The sequence below is a fragment of the Homo sapiens genome, chromosome 2, assembly GCF_000001405.40.
Source record: "Homo sapiens chromosome 2, GRCh38.p14 Primary Assembly".
Lineage (NCBI taxonomy): Eukaryota > Metazoa > Chordata > Mammalia > Primates > Hominidae > Homo > Homo sapiens.
Genome location: NC_000002.12, coordinates 104,840,259 through 104,862,069, shown reverse-complemented (window position 1 = coordinate 104,862,069; position 21,811 = coordinate 104,840,259). Strand labels below are relative to the sequence as shown.

Here is a 21,811-nt window from a genome sequence, read left to right as displayed (position 1 = left end):
TGAGCCAGGCTAACAAAATCAAAGAATCTGATTACACAAGTACCCCTCCTGCTATCTCCGCTGCCCCCACCCCCAGCTCCTCCAGCCTGCGCACTATTTCCTTTCCTAGGCTGCAAAGTTCAGGATGCAAACGCAGAGGCTTCTGCTTTCCTTATTGAAATCAACGTCAAGCCTACCGTGAGGATCCTGCACCCAGGAGGTCACATGGGTGAACTTCAGGCCCTCAGACCAGCAGCCCTGAGGAGCTGAGATGACCAACCGACCTACAGAACTTGGAGAGCCTGAGAGGTTGCCCCACGCTTCTCACATGCGTCACTCAACAACAACAACAGCAGCAGCAGCAACAACAACGACAACAACACCTGTGCTGATTGCTTATGCTGTTAGTAGCTGGACTAGGACAAAGGGCTTCTCCACTCACAGTCATTTTATAGATCATCTAATTTTTTTTCTTCAGTCTAGCACAACTCTTCTTTTTTCACATCACCTTGTTTCTGGGTCACTGATAACCTCAAACTCCCAACTCTTATTACAACTCCCTTTCCCAACGTAGATGTCTGAGCACAGTCAGGTATTAGGTTATCACTGAAACATAGCATCTGCTCTAATCCTTGCAGCCAGCCACGTGCATTTCATGAAAGAAGAAAATTCTTTAATTTCTGTCTTTCTGCCTTAAAAAAACAATCAGGTCCACCTTTTAAATAATTAATTTCAAGTCTGCATCCAGTGCCAATACTTGTTGCATCCATTTTAGAGTTGATTAATTACCCTGGAACTTGGGCAAACTAAACTCCATGTGGAGAGAATGTTTCTTCCTTCAATTTAGTACTGAAAGCTACAAGTTATTAATGGATTTTACTCAATTTACATACAAATTAGTGCAAATATGCCCGTCTCTTAAAGTACATTTTTGTATAAATATATAAAAGTATCATTTTTGATTTAGCTTGAAGAGGTTGATCATTTATTACAAAAATAAACGAATAAATACAACAATATATTGTTGCTTTCAACAGGATAAATACTTTACAAATATATAATTTAAAAAACAAATTTAATTGTTAAAATTATTTAAAATATTACACTTATCGATAAAACTATCAATAGTATATACTGCATTTAATATTAGAACCAATTATTCTCTGAATGTTCAAAACCATTCATACAAAACAGATTATGAGCATGGTCATGAGCAAACACTGGAGGCTACAGGGCAGCAAAGGGAATCGCTAAGATCAATAACGAACAGTTCTCTTCGGAACAAAGAAGTAGTCCTTGGCTAAGTACTAAAAAAAAAAAAAAAAAAAAAAAAAAAAAGGCAGAGCAACAATAGCAAAGTGACTATTTTCAATACACCTTGAATGATTTATCGCACAGACTTGCCAGGGGAAGATGGTTGTGGGAGCGACGGAGGCTTGGACAACTGATCAAGAGCCACAGGAGACTGTAAACTGTAAGTGGGCCTAGCTTGGGATTAGCAAGGCTGATGGAACAGAACTTTGTCACTTTCCTTTGGGTTGGAAGGGGAGGGGGGGTTGGATTGAAATGGAGGAAACAAATGGGCACTTTACGAAGCACAAGACACTTGCACTGCAAAGGAACACAATGACCAAATTCATTAAAAAGATCTGGTGATATATAACAATATTTTCATTATTTACATGTGTAACAATATAAGCCTTAGCACAAAACCTCTCAGTTATATCTGCCCTCTTTTGTTTTTCAACCATGAATTTCATTTTGTAATTACATTGAAAGGGTTGATTAAAAAAAATGGAGTGCAAGCATTAGCTCACTTTATAAAATGCAAATAATGAAACAAAATGGGTTTGCTTTCCCAGCTTCTCCAATTAAAAGTTACTCTGCTACCCCCAAATCAGGGATTCTTCCAAAGTAATCAGCAAAGTTTGCTTTTTAATAGAAAACAGTGTGAAATCTAATGTTAGCTCTTTTGTTGTCAGCTAAATCAACTAAGTAGATACCTCCTGAAATTTTTTTAATAGACCTATTACTTGTCTAATCAACCACCACCATTCCCATAGGAAAAACAAGATTCCATCTCACGTGCCAGTAGTATCCACCACATAAAAACAACCTGACCAGTCCTCAGCTTTCCAATGAGGACTTCTTTGCTTGCCTCTCTAGACACCCCCAAAATGGTGAACTTCTCCCCCACCCCCACTCCAGGTTGTAAATTTGCTGGGCATAGGGATTACAGCAGCAAGAGAAATAGGGAACAAGAAGGCAAAGAAAAGTAAATTGTGGTTTCTTGTCTTCATTTTTTTCTTCTCTCTGTTTAATATATGTGGCCTTTTTCAGATTTCACAAATCAAAATGATTGTGATTTTTAGTACGATTTGGTGTTTAAAATAATGCAACCCAATACATGGCCATCTGGCTGGGTTTGATTTATGAAAGTGACACAGGGCCTGTCTGGGAGAAATAACTGTGCCTTGTTGCTCTCACAGTTTTCCGGGTTTTTTAACCCCTGCATTGATATCACAGGGAGAGGGAGTGAAGATGAGAGAAGGAGGAAAAAAAGTGAGTGACAGCTAAGTGAGATTGGGGGGAATTTGTCTATAAAATCGTTGCTCTACCACTGCTAAATACTTTTAAGTACAATATATAGGGACTCAACTAAGCCGAGCCTTTAGCGTCTTAAGTACTCACAACCTGAGGCATTACACTTTCATTTTCCCACATTGTAAATATTGAAACATTAACTTGATCAATGTGACCACTCTGCAGGGTTTATGTAAAAGGTGACCTAAAACCCCCAGCACCAGTAAAGAAGATATAGAATCATACTGGGGAGAGACAAAAACACAGAAATATAGAACCTTAAGTCTGAGTTGGTAATTGCACAGATGGTATGCAGTGTGGACCATAATCAGGATTTTAGAACTATATTCTTTTATTACGGGGGGAAAAAACCCAAAAAGCTTAATAATTTAAATTTAATTACATATAGTTATTGATGGGAAGTAATTGATATCAAAATATTTTATAAGACTTATAAGCGACTCCTAACAACTATAGTCTTGAGAAAAAGAGAAAAGAGACAGGAACATGTTGGGAGGGGGACAGGAGAAGAAAAAAGAAGCTGAACTTGGGGGGAGGGGCTGTATTAACCATTAATAGCCAGTTGGCTCATTTTTACTGGTGATATCGTTCAATCTTTCGATAAGAAACACAGGTATCGCCAAGAAAAGGGTTAATATTTAGGCAATCTCACCTGAAAACACTAAAGACATCCACTAAAATTAAGGGAGAGAAAAATATTGTGAATTTATGGATTATCGAGGAGTGACTACTATGTTAAAATACTAGCTGTCTCAGCAATGCCTATGCTTTACTCTAGATTTCCAAAAGTACCTTAAGTGGAGCAGGCTCTACTTCCTCAACGCTATTACTTAGGGATTTTCATTAGTAAAAAAATATTTCTTAAAGAACTCTTTTCTTCCCACACAGTGTTTACGCATCAGACACAGACTATTTCATTCTAACAAATTTATTTTCTCGATCAGCTCTTACGGAATCACTACTCAAATTAAATTACAATCAAATGATCACATCAAAAGATACCCTTATTACCTAACAACTGTCCATATTTTCATTTCATTTTGATTTGTGCTCGTCTGAAAAAAACACGTAATACAAGATCTGGGGAAAAATAAATTACCGTTTTGCAGCAGTTCATAAGTATTCTGAATAAAATATTAAAAGAAGTCATTTAATGAAAATATAAAGCAAATATTTTTAGATCAACAACGGATCTAACAATTCTATATTGCCGTCTTTTGAAAAGTCTGTTTATTAAAACCTACCAAAAACACTGCTTGGAAATGGCAGTATTATATAATCACATCCACAGCACCCATTCAATCAAAGTTGGCAACGGATTGAGGAGAGAAGTCCAGAGAAGTGCAGCGGCTGGTGCTCAGTCTTTCTAAATTCCTTTATCTGAGTCAGTCCAGAAATAAAAAATAAAAAATATTAATAAAAAAAATATTAGCGGTGGAATCTTTAGGCATCGTCCACCCTGAATGGCAGCCGTCAAAGCCTGGGTACGCGGCCGGGCCTGGCTCGGCGGCCTCGCTGGCTGGGCCCCCGCTCTGCTCCCAGTTCGCCCGCCCGCCCGCGACCCGACTCGGCCGGGGCCTCTCGCCACTCCTCAGCGGACGTTCCCCCTCTCCCTCTGCTCCTTCCCGATCCTTTTATTTCCAAGGTTACTTTGAGGATACTTTTCTTTTGGCTTTGCTATTCAGTCTGTTAGTTTCAGAAGCTGTCAATATAATTATTTTTTTCTTGGAGACTGTTTTTCCCCCCTCCTTCCCATTTCAGAGTTGATTTGTTTCCAAATGACTTTAATATGGCCAAGAAAAACAGGGTCCCAGAGCACGGTGTCGTCCCCTGATGGAACCTGGTGCCTCTGTTTTCTCTCAGGTCGCTCCCAGGAAATAAAGTTTCCGTGGATCTCTTTAGGCAGCTGTTTTGGAGGGAGAAAGTGAAAGGAAAGGGGACTCTCTCTCTCTCTTTTTTTCAAAGAGGAGAAGACGAGGCAGGTGCTGTCCACCGCTGCCGTGTAGGTCATCTCAGGGTGGAAAAACCTCACGAGTGCAGTTTTCGTGCGTCAGGCATCTTCACCCTTCTTTAAAAACAAAAACAAAAACGAAACACCACCACAGTATGAACGAGATCTCATGATCGCCCCCTTTTTCTCTTCCGGTTTTGTTTGTTATATATGTATACAAAACAGTCTGGGTGTTTATTATGCTTTTTATTTTTTGGCCCCTCCTTCCTTGGACTGCAAAAATGCCTCCTTGGTCCGTTTCTCCCGCGTTTTCTCCTCCAAGGGCGGGCATGCCTGTCTCTGGGTGGAGGGGAGGGCGGCGGATGGGCCTGGGCTGGAGCCCGGAGCGGCCCAGGTGCAGGGTCGGCGCGGCGGCGGCAGCGGCGGCGGCGGCGGCGGCGGCGGCGGCAGGGGCGGCGGCGGTGCTGACGGCGGCTGCGGAGGCGGCGGCGGCGGCGGCCCTCTTCGCTCTGCGCCCTGGCTTCACTGAACGCTCGTCTGCAGCCCGTGGTGAGGCGGCGGCGTGTCGGCGCTCACGGTGCCCACCTGCGAGTAGACGTCGTCGGGCGTCTGCTGTTGGATCCCGGGCGGCGTCATGCGCTTCTCCTTTTGGCGCCGATTGCAGAACCAGACCCGCACCACCTCCTTCTCGAGCTGCAGGCTGTCGGCCAGGTTGGTGATCTCCTGCGCGGAGGGCTTGGGGCACTTGAGGAAGTGGCTCTCCAGCGCGCCCTTGACGCTCACCTCGATAGAGGTCCGCTTCTTGCGCTTGCGGCCCTGCGCCGCGATCTTGTCGATGCTTGTGGGGCTGCCGGTGCTTGAGTCCGCCTCCTCCAGCCACTTGTTCAGCAGCGGCTTGAGCTTGCACATGTTCTTGAAGCTCAGCTGCAGGGCCTCGAAGCGGCAGATGGTGGTCTGCGAGAACACGTTGCCGTAGAGTGTGCCCAGCGCCAACCCCACGTCGGCCTGCGTGAAGCCCAGCTTGATGCGCCGCTGCTTGAACTGCTTGGCGAACTGCTCCAGGTCGTCCGACGTCGGCGTGTCCTCGTCCGAGTGCGGGTCGTGGCTGTTGAGTCCAGGCCCCGCGCCGCCGCCGCCGCCGCCGTGGTGCGGGGGTCCCTGCGCGTGGTGCGGGTGCGGCGGGTGAGGATGCGCGTGGTGGTGGTGGTGGTGGTGGTGCTCGGCCAGCTCTGGCGTGTCCCCGCGCACCAGCCCCGGGTGCACCAAGCTCTGGGCTCCACCGCCCGCGCCGCCGCCGCCGCCGCCGGGCCCCGGTGGCGCGCTCAGCATGCCGTTCACCGTGAAGCCTCCGGGCTGCGAGTAGAGCAGACTCTGCGGCGGCGGCTGCTGGCCCCCGGCCATGGACGGGAGGTGCGCGGCGGCGGCGGCGGCGGCGGCTGCGGCTGCGGCAGCGGCGGCCGCCCCCCAGCCCCCAGGGTGGCCCTGGTGTGGGGGCGGCGGCGGGGGTCCGAGGTGCGGCGGCCCGCGGTGGTGCAGCGCTGTGCCCGCGTGCAGGTCGTCGCGCCCGGCGCCGCCCTTCACGTCGGGGCCCTGCGGCGGTGGCGGCGGCGGCTGCGGTGGCTGCTGGGGGCTGCCAGCCATGCCCACGGCGCTGCCCGACCACGGCGAGCTCGCCTCCACGGCGGCGGCGGCGGCAGCGGCGGCGGCGGCGGCGGCGTGGGGCAGGGCTGTGACCCACTGGTGCGCGTGGCTCAGCATATGGCCGCCGTTGCTGGCGGCCATGGCCCCCTGCATGAAGTCGCTCTGGACCATCTTGACAGAGGACGGGTCCCCCCGGTAGGCGCCCGAGGTCACGGCGGCGCTGCCCGGCTGCATGCCGCCGCCCCCGCCCCCTGCGCCGCCCCCGCCGCCGCCGCCGCCGCCACCCCCGCCGCCGCCAGCCCCTGCCGCGTCCGAGTGCACAATAGAGCCGGCCGCGAGCAGGCTGTTCCCCGGCAGGTAGGGGTTAGAAGCCGCCGTGGCCATGCCGCTCCGCTCCCGCCACCCCACCGCCGCCACCACCGCCGCCGCCGCCGCAGCAGCAGCCGCGGCCGCCGCCGCCGCCGCCGCCGCCGCGCCCCCCGCCTCCCGCCTCCTCCCCCCCTCCTTCCCCGCCCCCGCCCCGGGCCCCCGCCGGCCCCGCCGCCTTCGCCGCCTCCTCCTCCGCCGCCGCCTCCGCCCCCGCCGCCGCCGCCGCCGCCGCGGCCCCCGGCTGCAGCTGCAAGGCCGCTCGGCAGGGCGCGGGGGTCGCCGGCCGGCCTTGGTCACCAGCAGCAGCAGCAGCCGCAGGAGCAGCGCTCTGGGGAGGGGGGCTCGCTTCTCGGGGTGCGCTCCGTGGCCACCCCCTTCAGGGGGGGTCGTGGCCGCCCCCCAGCCCCGGCGCGCTGGGCTCGCTCCAGCGGGGCTCGCCGGGCGGGGCGGGGACCTGCACTCGGGGCGCTCTCCCGGGACGCGCGGGCTCCCGCTCCTCCTCCTGTCCTCGGGCGAGCCCGGACTCTGCCCGGTCGCGGGGCTCCGTCCACCTGCTAAGTGAAGGTTTCACGGGAGATAACAAAGAAAGAAGCTGCTCCTTTCTTCCTTAGCCAAATTACGGATGACCAGCAACCGGCCCGCTCCTTCTCTTGTCCGCTCTCTCCTCTCCTCTCCTCTCCTCCTCAGGAACACATTTCACTCGTTTTCCCTTAGAGTAGTAAAACTTTTTCGTCCTTGAAGGCGTGGTGCTGCTGGCTGCTCGCGAGTGCGGAGAGGGGAGGCTGGCTCCTGCTCTCCCCCTCTGGTCCTCTCGTTTCAAGTTTTGTTCTGTCCTAGGAAAACTTCTTGCGATGGTGCATTTCTCTGAAGTTGCTATTGCCGGAGCTCTTGGTTGCCTCTGAAACAAGAGTCCTTTTTCATTCTCCTCGCAACAGTCACAGTCTGATGCGACATCTTTCCTTTTGGGCAGAAATTAGGAAACAAATATAACAAGGAAAAAATTGAACAGGAAAAAAAATGATGTCGAATCGCTCTGTTACCTTGTTGCTGACGGTTGGGGTTGGTGTTTTATTTTTTTCCCAGCAGTTGTCTGGAGAAGGAGGAGGAAGAAGAGTGCATTGGTGGAGGTGGAGGTGTGTGTGTGCATATAGGGGATCGATCCTTGATACACAACAACTCCAGTGGGCACGCTGCACGGCTCGTAGAGTGCACCGACGGCGGGCGCTGGCGCTGGCCGTGCTGGAGCAGAGTTGCAGCAGGAGCTCGCTCTGCGCCCTCGTTCGCGCTCTCTTTCCCTCTCTCACTTTTCCTCTCCCTCCCTCTCTCTCTCTCCCTCTCTCGGGCGCCCGCTCTCGCTCCGATCTGACAGTTCGCTCTCTGTCCCTCCCTCTCAGAGCGGGGACTGTCGAATGTTTACCCTCCGCCGCGAGCGCGCACCCACCACCACACTTTCCCAAATACAAGGAAGTCGAGCACCAGGGCCCCCGCTGATTGGCTACCCGCTGGGTGATTGGCAGGCTCGGAATGACTGGCTCAGGACGCGAGGCCCCCCTTCCGGCCGTTCCGATTGGTTGCTTTTTAATTTAGGCAGAGCGTCGTAGAAGCTGGAAATCTGTCGTCCTCCAGCCTCCCTCCCCCTCACCACTTTCCCCTCCCCGCCCCTCCCCCGCCGCCCCCTCCGCCACATCTTAACTCTTAGTGTCCGGCCCAGACGTTGGCGTTCCCTCGGCGGCTCTGGGCGTTCGCAATAGGTCTGGGCGGGGGGAAGAAAGGGGAGATAAAAGGGAGGGAGGGACGAGAGGGGGGAAGAGAATCAGAAGGAAAACGAAGGGGGAAACATGAAAAATAGCAACCTGCCCACCCCACCTAGTACGCGTCGGGTTGCTCACCCCCTTACCCCCGCCCCGCCAGAGATTTGTAAAGCGCGCGGCACGGATGTACCATTCAAGCTAATACCTATAGACAGATGTGTCCCCAGTGGTTTCAAAGTTTCCTCTTCCCTTCACCAGCCGGCCCCCTTCTCTGATCGGCGGGGGTGGGAAGCGGGGGCTCGCATCGCCAAGAGCTCTGGTCGTGGCCACGCTCCTTGGAAATCCGCCACCGCAACTTTCCGCAGCCGTTGCGCGCCGGCGGCAGCCCCCTTTGTTTAAGTTCTCGGATGCCATCATCTGGGAAACCTGCAGCCCAGGACCAGCGCGGTGCCCGCGCGTGCGAGACGGACCGCTCGCTGCCGCCGCTCCCTGGCTCCTCCACCCCCTCTCTCCCTCCTTCGCTCTCCCTCCCTTCCTCCCTCCTCCCTCCTCTGGGATTCGTGCAAGTAGCGTGCGTGCCCTTGTGAGTTTGGAGGGTGCCGGTCAGCGGAGCCGTGCGATGTATTTGAAAAGCAATCAGTCCGACCTTCCCCCATAGATTCATCGTAAGTGTATTCGACCCCAATGGCTTTAGGAATTCCCTGTGGCAGCAGGAGCCGGGCGAAAGAACCGGGATCGGCTAGCCGCGCCCTTCTCTGCTCCACCGCTTCCTCGTGTGTGTGTGTGTGTGTGTGTGTGTGTGTGTGTGTGATTAGCGGTGGGGGGGTTTGCTCGCTCTCTATTCTTAGGCATGGTGGTGCTTTTTTTTCTTTCCTTTCTGTCTCAGATGGATTTGCGTGGTGGATGGGGCTGGCGGCGACAAATGCTTTCTCAGCTCTAACCCAGCTGAAAGAGTTAAGGGGGATGGGAGGGGGAGTGCACCCGGTAGGCGAGAGAAGCGGGGGTGGGGTGGGGTGGGGTGGGGGGACGCGGCCAAGCGGAAACGCTGCACAGAGGAACCTCAGCGAACCAAGAAAAAAGAGAAAGTGGCAACGAAAACAAGGGCAAATTGAGCCCTCCTCGGGGATTTCCAATGAACTAACCCAACTCGGACATTCAATAAATACATGGCTCTTAATGAGCGTGCGTGTGCGTGCACCCCGCACCCCTAGCTGCGGGTGCGCCCGCTTGCGCCCGCCGCCCCCAGCCAGAGCCTGCATCTGGCAGTCCCGAGCCCGAGCGGCAGCCCAGGACGCAGCCGAGGAGCGGCCGCCGGTGCGCTCCGATTAAAATGTGAACGGGCCTGCCCTTCTCTCCCGCTGTATCGTGCCTCTGCCGAGCGCAGTTAAGTGAACTCAGTGAAAGCAGGAGTTCTCCTGCCCAGCCGCAGCCAGGCAGCCCCCGCGTGATCTCAAGATTAACACTAGACGCGTAGAATTTATGTAGGCTCTTGTCCAGCTCCTGCTTGCCGGGTGAGATACCATCGTAGGTAGGTTTTAGCAAAGCCATTATTGCCAAGGTATAGATACCAAAGGCGGTGGTAACCAAACCCCAAACAGAACGGATTTTTTTCCTCTGCGGCCCCCAAAGGTTGCTTTTTATATTTACGTATGCGTATATGTATATATAAAAGATGGAACACAGATTTCATTGAATCAATCTGAGATCTCCAGGTGCAGACGTTTGAATAGTCGGTGCCAGCACCCCGTGTTTTCCTTTCCTGCCGATTTTGCTTGGATCCGGCTCAAAAACCGAGAGAGTCTCGTGGTTTTGTTTACACTGAATGGGGAGGATAGGAACAGAGCCATGGGGCCGCCTTTCATTAATATACAGTGAGGATTTTGTCTAAATTACTGCTATGAATTTCACAGTACACGCTTTCAAAAGCAGTCTCAGGTGGCCTGATGAAACGTGATAGCGCCTCTGCAAACAGATCCACTTTCTTTCTTTTCAAGAGGGTGTGTGTGCGCGTATGGGAAGCCCCCCAAAACGTTGTGCTCCTCGATAACAGAAACACACTTCTGTTCCGAGGTCTGTCCCCTTCTTCCTCCCCCCCTTTCGTCGTACTTAATTCTCGAATCGCTCCCCGGCCTCTCTCCCCCCTCCACGCTGCCCCACCCCATCCGCCCCCTCCCTTTGCGAGTGTGATTGTTTTGTCTGGAAAAAAAAAATCCAAAGTATATAACAAGGGGAGAACAGTTAGTGCTGATTTTCATTTGCATACATTTTCATATATTTTGGTGAAAATAATAGACTAGTGGAGAGCTGGGCTTCGAGGCGTCAGTGTGAAGGGAAGGCTAAGGACGCATCGGTGCTGGAGAGTTGAGAATATGCCTTCCCCTCCACCCCCAACCCAGTCACCTTATTTGAAAAAAAATTAAAAAACACCTTTTATTTAAAAACCTAACCCTGGAAGTTTGCTCGGTAAGTGTTTTTTCATTTTCTTTCCCTGCTTTCCTCTTCTTTTTCCCCTCCTTTTTGGCTTATTTATTTATGTTCTTGTAGGTTTGGGAGCTTATTTTCATTGCTTGGGACAAGAGAGGGTTCACAGAGCAACTGTCTGAAGGAAGGAAGGAAGGGAAGATGTGTTGGGGGGGAGTTAAAAAAATCCAACCCTGCTAAAATATTACATAAAAAGATGGACTCAGTCCAAAGCCCCACACAGCAAAAGCCACTTTACTTTGGAGGGGTGGGGGGAAAATGCTATTCATTGTAATTGTTGATCGTGAAGGTGGGGTGGGAGGAGGGGGAAGAAGCCCTGGAAAAGAAGTGATTATTAAGCATGCAGTATATAAATATTTCTTGATTGGGATTTTTTATTTTTCCCAGAGAATCAGGACTAGAGGGGAAGAAACCCTATTTCTGTAGCCAGTGGTGATGTCCTGAATTGTGTGTGCCTGCCTGGATTGGGGTGGGGGGACGCATGCTGGGAGCAGGAGGATGGAGTGAGGAGGGGGACTTGGCAAAGGGAAGGCGGAGAGCTGGAGGAGGAGGAAGCGAGGCAGGAAGTCAGGGCACCCCTGGTTAATGCTGTGTCTGGGGAGCAGGCGGGGAGCTGCAGCCTCCCAGCTCGGTAGTGAAAGCCCATCAGAAAGAGGGTGATCAATCAAAACTAACCAGGACATCCCTACACTTCATTCCCAAAGGAGGCTGGAGCTTTAGCATCGCAGACTGGATTTCACTTTGTTTTCTATTTTTGACAGCCTCACTTGTCCCCTCCTTGCCACTGTTCCTGGGTTTTGTAAAAATTGAGGGTGCAGTTATTGCTAGGTGCAGTTAATTAGATAAACATGGCCGGAGGACATAGCTAGGCCAAGTCCAGGCCCATTTGAGTGCCTTACCTTAGTGAAATAGGCCGGAGAAAATTTTAAAAGCTTCTTGGTTTTGTTCTTTTAAGGGAAGCTGCGTCTGTGATGATGAGGGGGGAGAATCCAATGGCTGGAATTTTATTGCACTTTTTTACACAGAACACCTTGCAATTTAGAATTGGTAATTTATTTGGAAACAGTTGATGCCAAATCAATGAAACGGTTTGTAACGAGGGAGGAAGAGGTTTCAGTTGGGGAGGGGGCTCAGAATCGCCAGTTTTCCACTCCTTGTTTACGTGCTTGGCAGCGTTGCTTTTGACTGGGGTTAACTCTGTGTGCTCCATTGGACCAGATGCCATATAGAGCTGCTCCCTGAAGATCATTTGTTTCCTTGATGGGGAACATTTCTGAGCAGAGCATATTGGTTGCCATAGAGAAAGAAATAAAAGGAAGAACACTAGTCACATTAAGCTATATGTTTGTGCACTGGGCTTTAGATAAAAGGACCTTGGTTCAGCCAAAGAGAAGAAGCCAAACTAGAGATTTCTAGTGCCACTAAAACTAGCTTTATTTTGTTTTGGACTTTTACAGTTGAAACATATAAGCTAATTTTATTGGCTGTTGTTAATTTTATATGACACGGTTTACTGAACAAAATAAACTTTGCTCAGGAGTAGCATTATTGACTTGTCAGCAGGGGGCGCACTGACTCGTCTTAGCGAGTGCTGAGTAAAATGTAGCTGTTTCAAAAGCAAATCTGCTCTTCCAAACTTGCCAAAGGAACAAATACCGCTACCTTTCTATGCATATTCACAACGAGGAGTGAATTCATTGCATAACACAGGGTTTTAAAATATGAAGACAATGACTTCCCCATCCCCCACCCGCCCATGTCTGTGAAATGGCCCAGAAAGAAATATAGTTCAAAAACTATTCCTCCATTTCAGTGAAGTGTATTCTGGGCTGGAAAACAGAAATGAGATGTGAAAGCAAGAATAGTTTTTGAAAATTATTACTAAGGGGATTTAATAGGCTACTTAAGAAGCTACCTTTCAGGGTTTTTTGTTGTTGTTGTTTTAACAGTCAAGAAAATGAAATGCATCCTAGGGTATGATCTGTTTAAATAATGAAAGTTCTTCAACCTGATACATGCTTTGACTTCTAAATGCATCTCTGGGTCCTAGAGATTTAGTCCGCTGGCCCAGGATCACTTTTACTCCATTTGATATTTAGTGGCTACTTTCATTCTTGTTACCACTTATGATTTTAGAAAGATTTTGGATTTATCCTTGAAAGGCTTGGCAGAGAAAAGAAAATACAAAATAGCCACGGGTTAGAGATAACTGTGGGCTTGAAACTTTTTAGTGCATTACTTAACCCAGTTGAAGAAAAGTTTCAGTAGAGCCACAAGGTTTCTGCCTCAAAGATATATACATACTGCCAATGAAGACTAAACTTTATTGTGGTAAAGGACGAAAAAGATATGTGGAAAACTTCCTAAAGCAGTGAAGGGTAGATCCTGACTGGTTCAGAATTAGTCAGTTTGTCATTAAGAATTTTCCCAAGGAGATTCAGAGAGTGTGACTAGTAAAGGGAAGCCCGGAGTGACTGGAAGTGAGAAGCTGGCTTCCATGGTTCAGTAGCCGAACACACCTGTGAATGTGTCACAGAGCCTGTTAGTAAGGGCCACATTACGTGATCGCTCTCATGTTCCTGTGCAAGAGAGGAAAAGACACCTTATTCTTTCTAACCCAGCTCCAAGTCAACCAGGTTCCAATGAGGAGAAGTTTTTCTTTGACACTAACTTTAGTAAGTCAGAGTTTGGATTTAAGTGGTGTGTTTTCTAGGAGGGTCAAGAGATTCTGGGAACAGTATAAGCAAAAGGGGCACACTCAAACACATTTTAATCTGTGATTTTCACCCCAAGCTCTCACATTTAGAGTCAGGAAAGGTACTCTCAGGTTCGCACTAATAAAACAGGGAGAATTGAGAAAATTGTAACTTGAGCCCAAACATTGCTTTCTCTTTGGCTTTTGGGACATTTCAGACAAAAGACTTCTGGGGCAGATCCACATGAAGTGGGCAAATGTCTTAAAGCTCTAGCTTACTTTGCATGCCCAGGGCTGCTGAATGCATTTAAAAATTATTAAGGAGAAAGGAAACTTTTCAAATCAGCCTGACATTCTGCAAAAAACATTGGTGAGGCAATCATTATATATATTTAGAGCATAATTTTTGTGTGCCACTTTTCATAAGATCTGTGATTGTTACTGTCTTGCTGCTACTTTTCTTTTTTTGAAAAGGTAATTAAACAATAAACAGAAAAGATAAAATGCTTGCCCCTCATGATATCTATAGTCCTAGGTTCCTTAATGTAAAAGAAACAGAAAATAAGAAATCTGGGTAGAGCAACAAGTTAATTTGACAAGAACTGACATATTATAGAGATGGCTTTAGTAGCATTTTATAATGATTTGGGGGTGGAAGCGATCAAGCTGGGTATGAATTAAGATTCAAAGTGCTGGGCAAAGCTACAGACTTTTAATTGTTGGGGATGGCGAAATTGCTTTTGCCAAATGAGAGAATGAAGAACATTACCTGGGTCAAAAGTACAAAACACAAAGTGGGTATTTACTCATTTGTTTCCATTTGAGAATGATAAGGTGCTCTGGTATCGCTGCAGTTCAGAAGCACATTTGCCATTAGCATTTACAAATTAAAATGTTAAGCATACTCTCAACCCATACTCTGTGTTATATACAAAGGGGACAGCTCTTCCACGGTAGCTTTTGGGTGGAGAAAAGTATTTGTCGTCTTGGCAGTGGATGAGTTGTTTCTTGGTCTTCCTAAGTTTTTTGAAGTGTTTCTTCCCCTAATTCTTTGTATCATTTTGATAACTGATTTGTCTGATCTGCAGGAAAGGAGCAAGTACGTAGGTTTTTAGATGGTTTCAAAGAGTAATACATTCAAAGACATTATGATTTCTCACCCGAAAGCAAGAAGCTTTCTTTCTGATACTTATAGGACAGCTTTAAACTACAGGGCATTTCAGATTATGGGAAATAAACTAAGAAAGCACAGTAAGTTGGTAATCCAGTGAATGCTTTTAAAACAACCCATTTCCAACAGTTTGCCCATTCGAGCTGCATGCAGGCGTGCACCTGACAAGTCTGGTAATGAAAGCTACCAATTGCCAGGGAAGCTGGAGCTGTCACAGTGTGATGGACTGTTCCTGCCTGCCCCCTCACCACACTCCCTGCCTCCCCACTGAGTGCAATGCTCTTTTTCAAATTTAAATTCACAGGGCTAGGTAACATAGAGCCAGGCTGATTGACCAGAGATGATGATGATGATGATGATGATGATGATGATTCATTGACAAAATTTGGTCATTTCTTAGCTAGAAAAATATTCCAAGGTCAGCTTGGTGGGTTTTGTGTGTATTTGTATGTGTGTAAAAACAACGCCCAGAAATATTAATTCAGCTTTATCAGAAAAATGGTTTGATTCTTTGAGGTTGTGGTGGTCCTAACAGAACTGAACAAACAGCTCTCTCAGTCTTGAGGACACTCCTTACGCCAAACATTCCTCATACGTTATTATACAGCATCGCCTTTCTGGGTCGGAACAGGGTAGTCTGGAGGTGGAAAAGAGATTCATGTGGCATACATCCCAGAAAACAATTCTTGCAGTTTGGCACCTCTGTTTTTATTATTATTATTATTAGATTTTTTTTTGACATTTGAACTTAGCTATTGTCTGAGAAGCTGGGTGCAGATGCAGCACGTCAGGCTGACGGCTGCTCTTTTCGGCATTCCCCTCAAACTGTGCTTCTGTGGTCTCTTCTCTCCAGTGAATGCTGAAACACCCAGTTCACTATATCGCTCTTTCCCCCCGCGCCCCCGGCCCTGAGACACCCCAGTGCCTGCCCTGGATGGCCAGCCTCAGGGGTGTTTTCAAGAAAGTGTGTTTATTGTTGTTCACTTTCAAAATACGGTGCCGAATGTATTCGTTGATATTTGATACTACAAATACCATGGTTTGCAGTGATACACTTTCAGCACAAACGTATCTGGTCAGACACTTTGGTGGTGGAGCTAAGTGACCTTGCTCACTGTAGCTTCAGGCAGCTTGGAGTTTGTTAGTCTCAAGTTAAAAGTTACTTGTCTGATGTTGCTTTGAACGCTCACCTCTCTCCCCAAAATTTCGGTAGGGAGCCTGGCTACTCAGTGAAGCCCAAGGGAAGGAGCTCAGGCTTACAGTGCCATTTAATACACGTCAAATGTTAATTTAGTATTAAATCAGGGTGCAAAGAGCCTCTAGAAGTCCAGGCATATATTGTTCAAATGGCTGCGTTCCCTTCATTTTTAATTCACATCACAAAAACAAACAAGTAAAACTTCACTTGGAAAAACACTAACTGTTAAAGTATCCTAAATTCGAAAATACTATGATTATATTGGAGGGGTCTGGCAAGCAATTCCTTTTCTGGGTTAGAAAGTAAGATGAGAACTTTTCCCAGAAAGGTTTGCTTTGGAGTCTCCAGCGCTGAGGTCCCCATTCCACAGCGGCGAGGTCCTCCTCTCACCCCCACCCCCAACATTCCTGTGATTTGTGGGCACGAGAAGCGACTTCTCCCGAATCTCCGGCCATTTTGGGGGCCCCAGGGCTAAGCTCGGCTTCCTTAGATCGCATTCTAACGGCGTTTTATTTTATTTAGGGCACAGTTTGCATAATAAAATTAAAAGGATCCCATTACTCCCCTTTTCTCTCTGAGCACTGCCCAGCAAGGTCTTTCAGACTGTTATTTGAACATCTAGAGCGGCCTTCAGAAGTCGAATTAGCATTGCTTTTCTATGGGAAAGAAAAAGGGAAAGAGGTAAATAGGGCAAAGTGAGAAGCGGGTAAGGTACAAGGAGTGAGGTGGATTAAAACATGCAGGGAGCGGTGAAGGAGACTGGGGACAGAAGAGGACAAGAGAGGAGATGGGGCAGCAGGGAGGCGAAGAGATAAACGCTGAGTCACCCTAACAGGTCATTGGGTACACAGGAGCGAGATGCTGCAGCCCAGGAAAATCCGGGTGCAAATCGCACCCCATCTTCTGGGCCTCCTTCCCGCCAAGCCGTAGGAGCGCCGGCTTGGAGCTCGGCGCCGCCCGCTTGCCTTTGTCACTGATTCGGTGCGCGGCCGCGGGCTCCTGCGGCGGGCTTTGTTCCGGCGGAGCAGGGCAGGACCCCTCGCACCGCCGCGTCCCCGCCCTCCCCGAGCTGGGGACGGTGGGGGTGGGGACTGCACTACAGGGACCGGGAACAGAGGAGCAACGGCGGGCGCCTCTGAGCCTGGGATTTCGTTCCTTGGCTCCTCTTCGTAATTGAGCTGTTCTTCCTTCGGGGAGGGGGCCGCGGCTGCGCGGGAGGAGGAAGAGCTGGAAGGGGGGGTACCCGCTCTCAGCCCGCAGCAAGGGCGAGGCGCAGCTCTCCGTGCCGGCGTCCCGGGATTTGTATTGCATGCATGTACGCATGCAGGGATGGATGGATGCATGTATGGACGAGGAAAACCGATGAATTGGGTCCCATGTTCTAGGTTTCCGGTCGAGCTTTTGGCAGCTGCAGGGCGCCTCAGGTCGGTGCCTGGTTAACCCCTAAGATCTGCTCTCGAGGTGTTTGGGGGCCGCGGGTGGGCGCTGTGGACGCGCCCCGGGTCGAGGGCTGCCCACCGGCCGCGCGCAGATCCCACCGTGGAGGCCCGCGGCGGGGGACAAAGGCGGACACCCCGAGCAAGCAAAGGGCGGGCGCACACAGGCACTCACGCACCCACGCGCTCTCTCGCCCGGGCCCCTCCCGGTGAGCCCCCGCGCCTGGGAGTCAGGGCTCTGCGCTTGAAAAGTTCGCTTCATGTAGACGCTGCTCCCTCCTCTCGCCACTGCATTTAGCAAGCGGTGTGTGAACGTGTATCACCCTCTCCCCAGCCACCCCCAAAGGTGTGGGCAGATTGCAAGAGTTACTGCTCTGTTATTGTTTGTCAAATAGGGTCCTTCTCTTGGGAGAGGGTCGAGGGGCATGTGGCGGATCCCGGGCCAGGATTACATTAATCAAAGCATTATTTCCCCAGAGAAGCGGAGCACAAATGAGAGTAAATCCTAATAAAATTGGATCGCGGAGAAATGGAACGCTTTAAGTCATCTGTGCTGACTGATAAAAATCTCACATTTACAAGATGTGGGTCTTAAAAAAAATCCGCACACCTCTGGCCTCGGCTTGGCTGGTGGGTCCAGGTCAGGGTGGGGGACAGACACTACACGAAGCTCAGCTGAACTTCTGAAGTGAGAAAGGAAGCTGGACACCCATTCGGAGTTTCACAAGCTCAGGTCTGCTCAGGAGGCATCTTCGGCCCTGGGAACCCCTCTGGAGTGTTTGCGGAACCCGTGGGTCCGACGGAGTCCCCATCAGTGCCCTGAGAGGTCTGGAACTCTGTTCCTCTGGGAACGTGGCCCCCACTTTCCCCTTCGAACTCTGCTGCGGAACGGGCAACTCCCATGGGTGGGGGCGCAAAGCCCCACTGAGTGGGACGGCGGACGCGGCCTACCGGCTGGGCAGGGACCAGACACCCCAACGCTGCGCCCGCAGCAGATTCGCGAGTACCCCCCAACCCCGCCCGGGTCTCCACCCTAGGGCCCGCCAGGTCCGCGGGGCCGTTTCCTAGGCAACCTGGGGTTCCTTCGGCCAGGGGAAGGGTGTGCGTTTGGGATGATTGCCGGGGAAGCCGAGGGCGCTGCTCGCCAGCGAGACTTCTGGTACATTCGGCCATCCCAGCAGGGAAACAAGGCTCTCGATCCATCCACCTTCGTCCCTCAAGTGGTAGGAAACTTTCCGACGCCTCCCGCGGCTCTGCCAGGAGAGAAGAGACAAGCTCCCCCTCCCAACCCCTTAGTAATGACTGAGTCTAGCGAAGCTAGCCAGCCGGGAGGCAAACTCCCCCTGCCGCCCCGAGGCCTCCTCCAGCCGCTGAGACTGGAAAGCGGACTTGCGACGCCACGCCGGCCGTCGTTGGTGACAAGTGTGACAACACCGTCCCGGTCCTACGGGTGAGCACCAGCCTGAGGGCCCCGCCGACCCTCCAGAGAGGCGCGAAGGGAACCTGCTCCCGTCCGGGTCCTCCCTCCGACCCTTCCTCGGTGGGCGAAGGCGGGGCGGTGGAGAACCCGCGGGGCGCGAGCGCGCCGGCGCCCCCTGCAGGCCGGCACTTGGAGGGCCCGCCGGGGCGCTACCGCCGCGCCGAGGTCCTCGCGCTGGCTGCGTCCGAGGCCACCGGCGCGCACACGCACAGCTGCCCGCCTGCTCCGTGCCTTTTCCAAACGCGAGTTCCATACGCGGCTGGGAGCGGCAGGGTGGGAGGGGAAGAAGGGAGAGAGGGCCACAGAGGGAGGCGCGGAGCGGGGTGGGCAGCCGGCGTCACCCCCTCCCCACCCCTTCGCTCCCCTTCTCCAGTCCGCGCTGGGCAGTCCCCGCATGTGCCAGCGGCCGCGCGCCTCGTTCCGGGCCCGCGCGCTCTGGAGCCCCGAAGGCCGCGCTGCCTCCCCACAGGGGCAGCGACCAGCGCTGGGTACCAGGCTGGCCTGGGCCGGGCTGGGTCGCCTCACCTCCGGTGAGCGCGCCCCAGAGGAGCCGTTTCCCTTGCAGTCTAGAGGGTAGAGCGGCGGGGAACAGTGTGCGTGTGTGCGCGTGCGAGGACCGGGTGTACGTGTGAGTGCGGTGCGCGCGCAGGGCAGGGCAGGGCAGGACAGGAGGCGCTACAGGATGCTCTGGTGGAAGCTTATCCTTTTCAGCCTTGAGATCTAAATCTGCAACCTTAGAGCTGATTATTCTACCCCAGCCCCCCTCCTCGGTTCTCTACACGGGCATCTCCCTCTTTCGCCTGAGTCTTCCCAATCTGATTCCCAAAGAGATCCCCCTCGTGGTCCGGGGATTTTCATGGACACCCTGACCCACGTGAGCCAGGCTGAAAGGGACAGTGTTAGCCGAGGGCATGTCCATCATCCAGCCTGCTCGTTAGGCTGGATTTCACGCACCAGGAAGCCGCGTTTGGGGACTTGGGTATCTGCTTTCTCTCTGTCTTGGCCTTAAAAATTGCTGCGCAGTGGCTGTTTTTAGTTTTGGAGGGATAGGAGGGAGGTAGGAACCAATTGCAAATCACTTTTGGGGCTTCTCTTTATTTACCTGACCAGTTGTAGCCCTCCTAGGCACCTTTCCAACTTACTGGCTTCTTTCCAGTGATGGGAAATTTGGGGGGAGGGGGTTCGAGTAAAGACACTCATACCTTTTCAATTCTGAAATAATGACTCCCCTTTCCCAGTCTGTGATTTCCATAATTTCATACAAAACAAGGGCTGTCAAGGATCTCTTTATAAGAGAAAAGGCAACTAGCAGAAGAAAACTTGGGCCAAATTAAATTCCTCCTTCTTAAAACATTAACCAGGGCCTCCCTCCCTCCCTGGTCCCACCAAGTTTGTTCTACTCTCAAGGGGAAACAGGACAGAAAAATTCAGAGAAAGGTTAAACATTCCTCTCCTTCACTGAGACCATGAACCCAGTTGCCAAAATGTATTTTTGATAACCTGAGATTCAGAGGGATTCTAAGAAGAAAAGGAGCACACGCTTTTAGTTTTCCCCTTGTTACCCTACTGTTTGCATCTAATGATTTTCACGAATTTGGAAATACCTGTTATATACATTTTTTCTGTCTTGGATTTATTAATATTGGATGGTTTTACTGTTAGCCATAATTCTTTATAGGACCTGTTGTCCTAGAGAAAGGTTCTAAGTAACATTTAGACACACTCACTAGCTTCTGCCAAAGGCCCTCCCCAGCTAGTGTCTTGACACACTTTCAATCACTGTTTTTCAAAAGATAATTTATAGGCAGGTAAATTTTAACAAAGAATGTTAATGGTAAAATGTGGGTGTTTAACTTGATGAGCTTTTGTTTTTAGAATCAAGGTTTAGCTTTTCTTTGAATTATTTATCAAGCTGTTTGCCCATAGGCCTTCCTAAAAGAAGGGAAAGGTGAAGAGGAAGGGATCACTTTTATTTATTTAAAGCATATGTTGACATAAAATTTTAAAACTAGCCTTTTGGAAAACAGCGAATTACTAAACCAGGTCTGTAAACACCCACCTTTGGGACTGTGAAAAGCAAAAAACAAAAAACAACCTAATTACTTTCACAGGAAACAGTACTCAGTTAACTAAAATATTGTATGGCAATCCTTGGAAGCTCCTCCTCCTCCTTAAGTATAGTACAGTTTGGTAATATACTACACATATTTATACATGATGTAAATATACATATGCACAAGGGTAGATGTTTATGTACATAACATAACAAAATATATACATACCCCAACTGAATACATTTGCATATAACATGCCCATGTGTAATATAGCAAACTTCTATGATTAACAATACGTTCTATAACAGATAGTCTTAAAATAAGAAGTGAGTGAATTTTATTCATATTGAAAAAAATTCAAAATTTGTTTTGAAATCTGAATTGTGCTAACTGTAGATGGCACCACAGAAATCAGTAAATAATAGGTTCGTAGTATTAATATTTTATACACACTCCCTCTAAAATATGAACTTAAATAACTCGTTTTACAAAAAATAAAATGGACAGCATATTTAAAATATAAACATTCCATCTAAAGCTGAGTACCTATTTTTTGTCTTTTTTTTTCACACATTACATACTGTTGTCTTAGAACAAAAATTAAATTTTAGAGGCAATGAAAGAGATCAGCAGTTTTATTTTCTACTCTATTGTAAAGAAAACATTTTTAACTAGTTGATCGTATGGTCCTCTATATGCATTAAAAGACATTCAGTAATCTAGTGATAATTCAAAATGTAAAAGCGAATTTGAGGCCTATATTATATTTGATTTGTATAATATGGGATGCCATGTTACTTATTTGCTTCCTTGAAATGGTATTTTGAATCTTTGGATTTTCAGAGGCCTTTTCTGGTTAAAATAAGAACTACAGTTAAAATGAATACATTGGCATTCATTGGCAAGAGTCCAGATGCTCATTTGTGTTAAGAAAATGGAAAGAAATGATCTACCAGAATTTTATACTTTAAGTGTTATTTGTCCTAGTTGATAAAGGAATC

At 49.6% G+C, this 21,811-nt stretch overlaps 1 protein-coding gene and 1 long non-coding RNA gene across 10 annotated transcripts in view, besides 4 other annotated features; one reads left to right on the top strand and one right to left on the bottom strand.

The window, feature by feature from the left end:
- The window catches only part of POU3F3 (POU class 3 homeobox 3), a 74,498-nt gene extending 65,704 nt beyond the window's left edge, over positions 1-8,794 (bottom strand). For 2 of the 6 annotated variants that reach the window (NR_197434.1, NR_197433.1), the window contains exons 1-2: positions 8,501-8,794; positions 8,238-8,297 (exon numbers count right to left, since the gene is read on the bottom strand). Coding sequence is in view for 2 of the 6 variants with exons in the window: in NM_001433704.1 (NP_001420633.1) it covers positions 5,057-6,559 (1,503 nt within the window). In the remaining 4 variants the exon portion in view is untranslated. Of the gene's footprint in view, positions 1-941; positions 8,298-8,500 lie in introns of those variants that run through there. The other 4 variants (NR_197432.1, NR_197431.1, NM_001433704.1 and 1 more) reach the window with 3 other exon arrangements.
- Positions 7,762-8,351: an enhancer, noted in NCBI's record as "OCT4-NANOG-H3K4me1 hESC enhancer chr2:105470177-105470766 (GRCh37/hg19 assembly coordinates)". NCBI's record gives its function as "activates a minimal SCP1, AML or CMV promoter by ChIP-STARR-seq in naive and primed H9 embryonic stem cells {active_cell/tissue: H9 hESC(naive and primed)}" and the evidence as "EXISTENCE:reporter gene assay evidence [ECO:0000049][PMID:30033119]".
- A 92-nt stretch (positions 8,795-8,886) lies between the features above and the next one.
- The window catches only part of PANTR1 (POU3F3 adjacent non-coding transcript 1), a 47,759-nt gene continuing 34,834 nt past the window's right edge, over positions 8,887-21,811 (top strand). For 3 of the 4 annotated variants that reach the window (NR_037883.1, NR_131234.1, NR_131235.1), the window contains exon 1: positions 10,594-10,758. This is a non-coding gene — a long non-coding RNA (POU3F3 adjacent non-coding transcript 1). Of the gene's footprint in view, positions 8,961-10,593; positions 10,759-21,811 lie in introns of those variants that run through there. The other variant, NR_131233.1, reaches the window with a different exon arrangement.
- Positions 9,560-9,609: a silencer, noted in NCBI's record as "silent region_11835". NCBI's record gives its function as "represses an Ori minimal core promoter by ATAC-STARR-seq in GM12878 lymphoblastoid cells {active_cell/tissue: GM12878}" and the evidence as "EXISTENCE:reporter gene assay evidence [ECO:0000049][PMID:35858748]".
- Positions 10,990-13,542: an enhancer, noted in NCBI's record as "VISTA enhancer hs1553". NCBI's record gives its function as "enhancer in: neural tube[5/6] | midbrain (mesencephalon)[5/6] | forebrain[5/6]" and the evidence as "EXISTENCE:transgenic organism evidence [ECO:0001131][PMID:17130149]".
- Positions 17,160-17,684: an enhancer, noted in NCBI's record as "H3K4me1 hESC enhancer chr2:105460844-105461368 (GRCh37/hg19 assembly coordinates)". NCBI's record gives its function as "activates a minimal SCP1, AML or CMV promoter by ChIP-STARR-seq in naive H9 embryonic stem cells {active_cell/tissue: H9 hESC(naive)}" and the evidence as "EXISTENCE:reporter gene assay evidence [ECO:0000049][PMID:30033119]".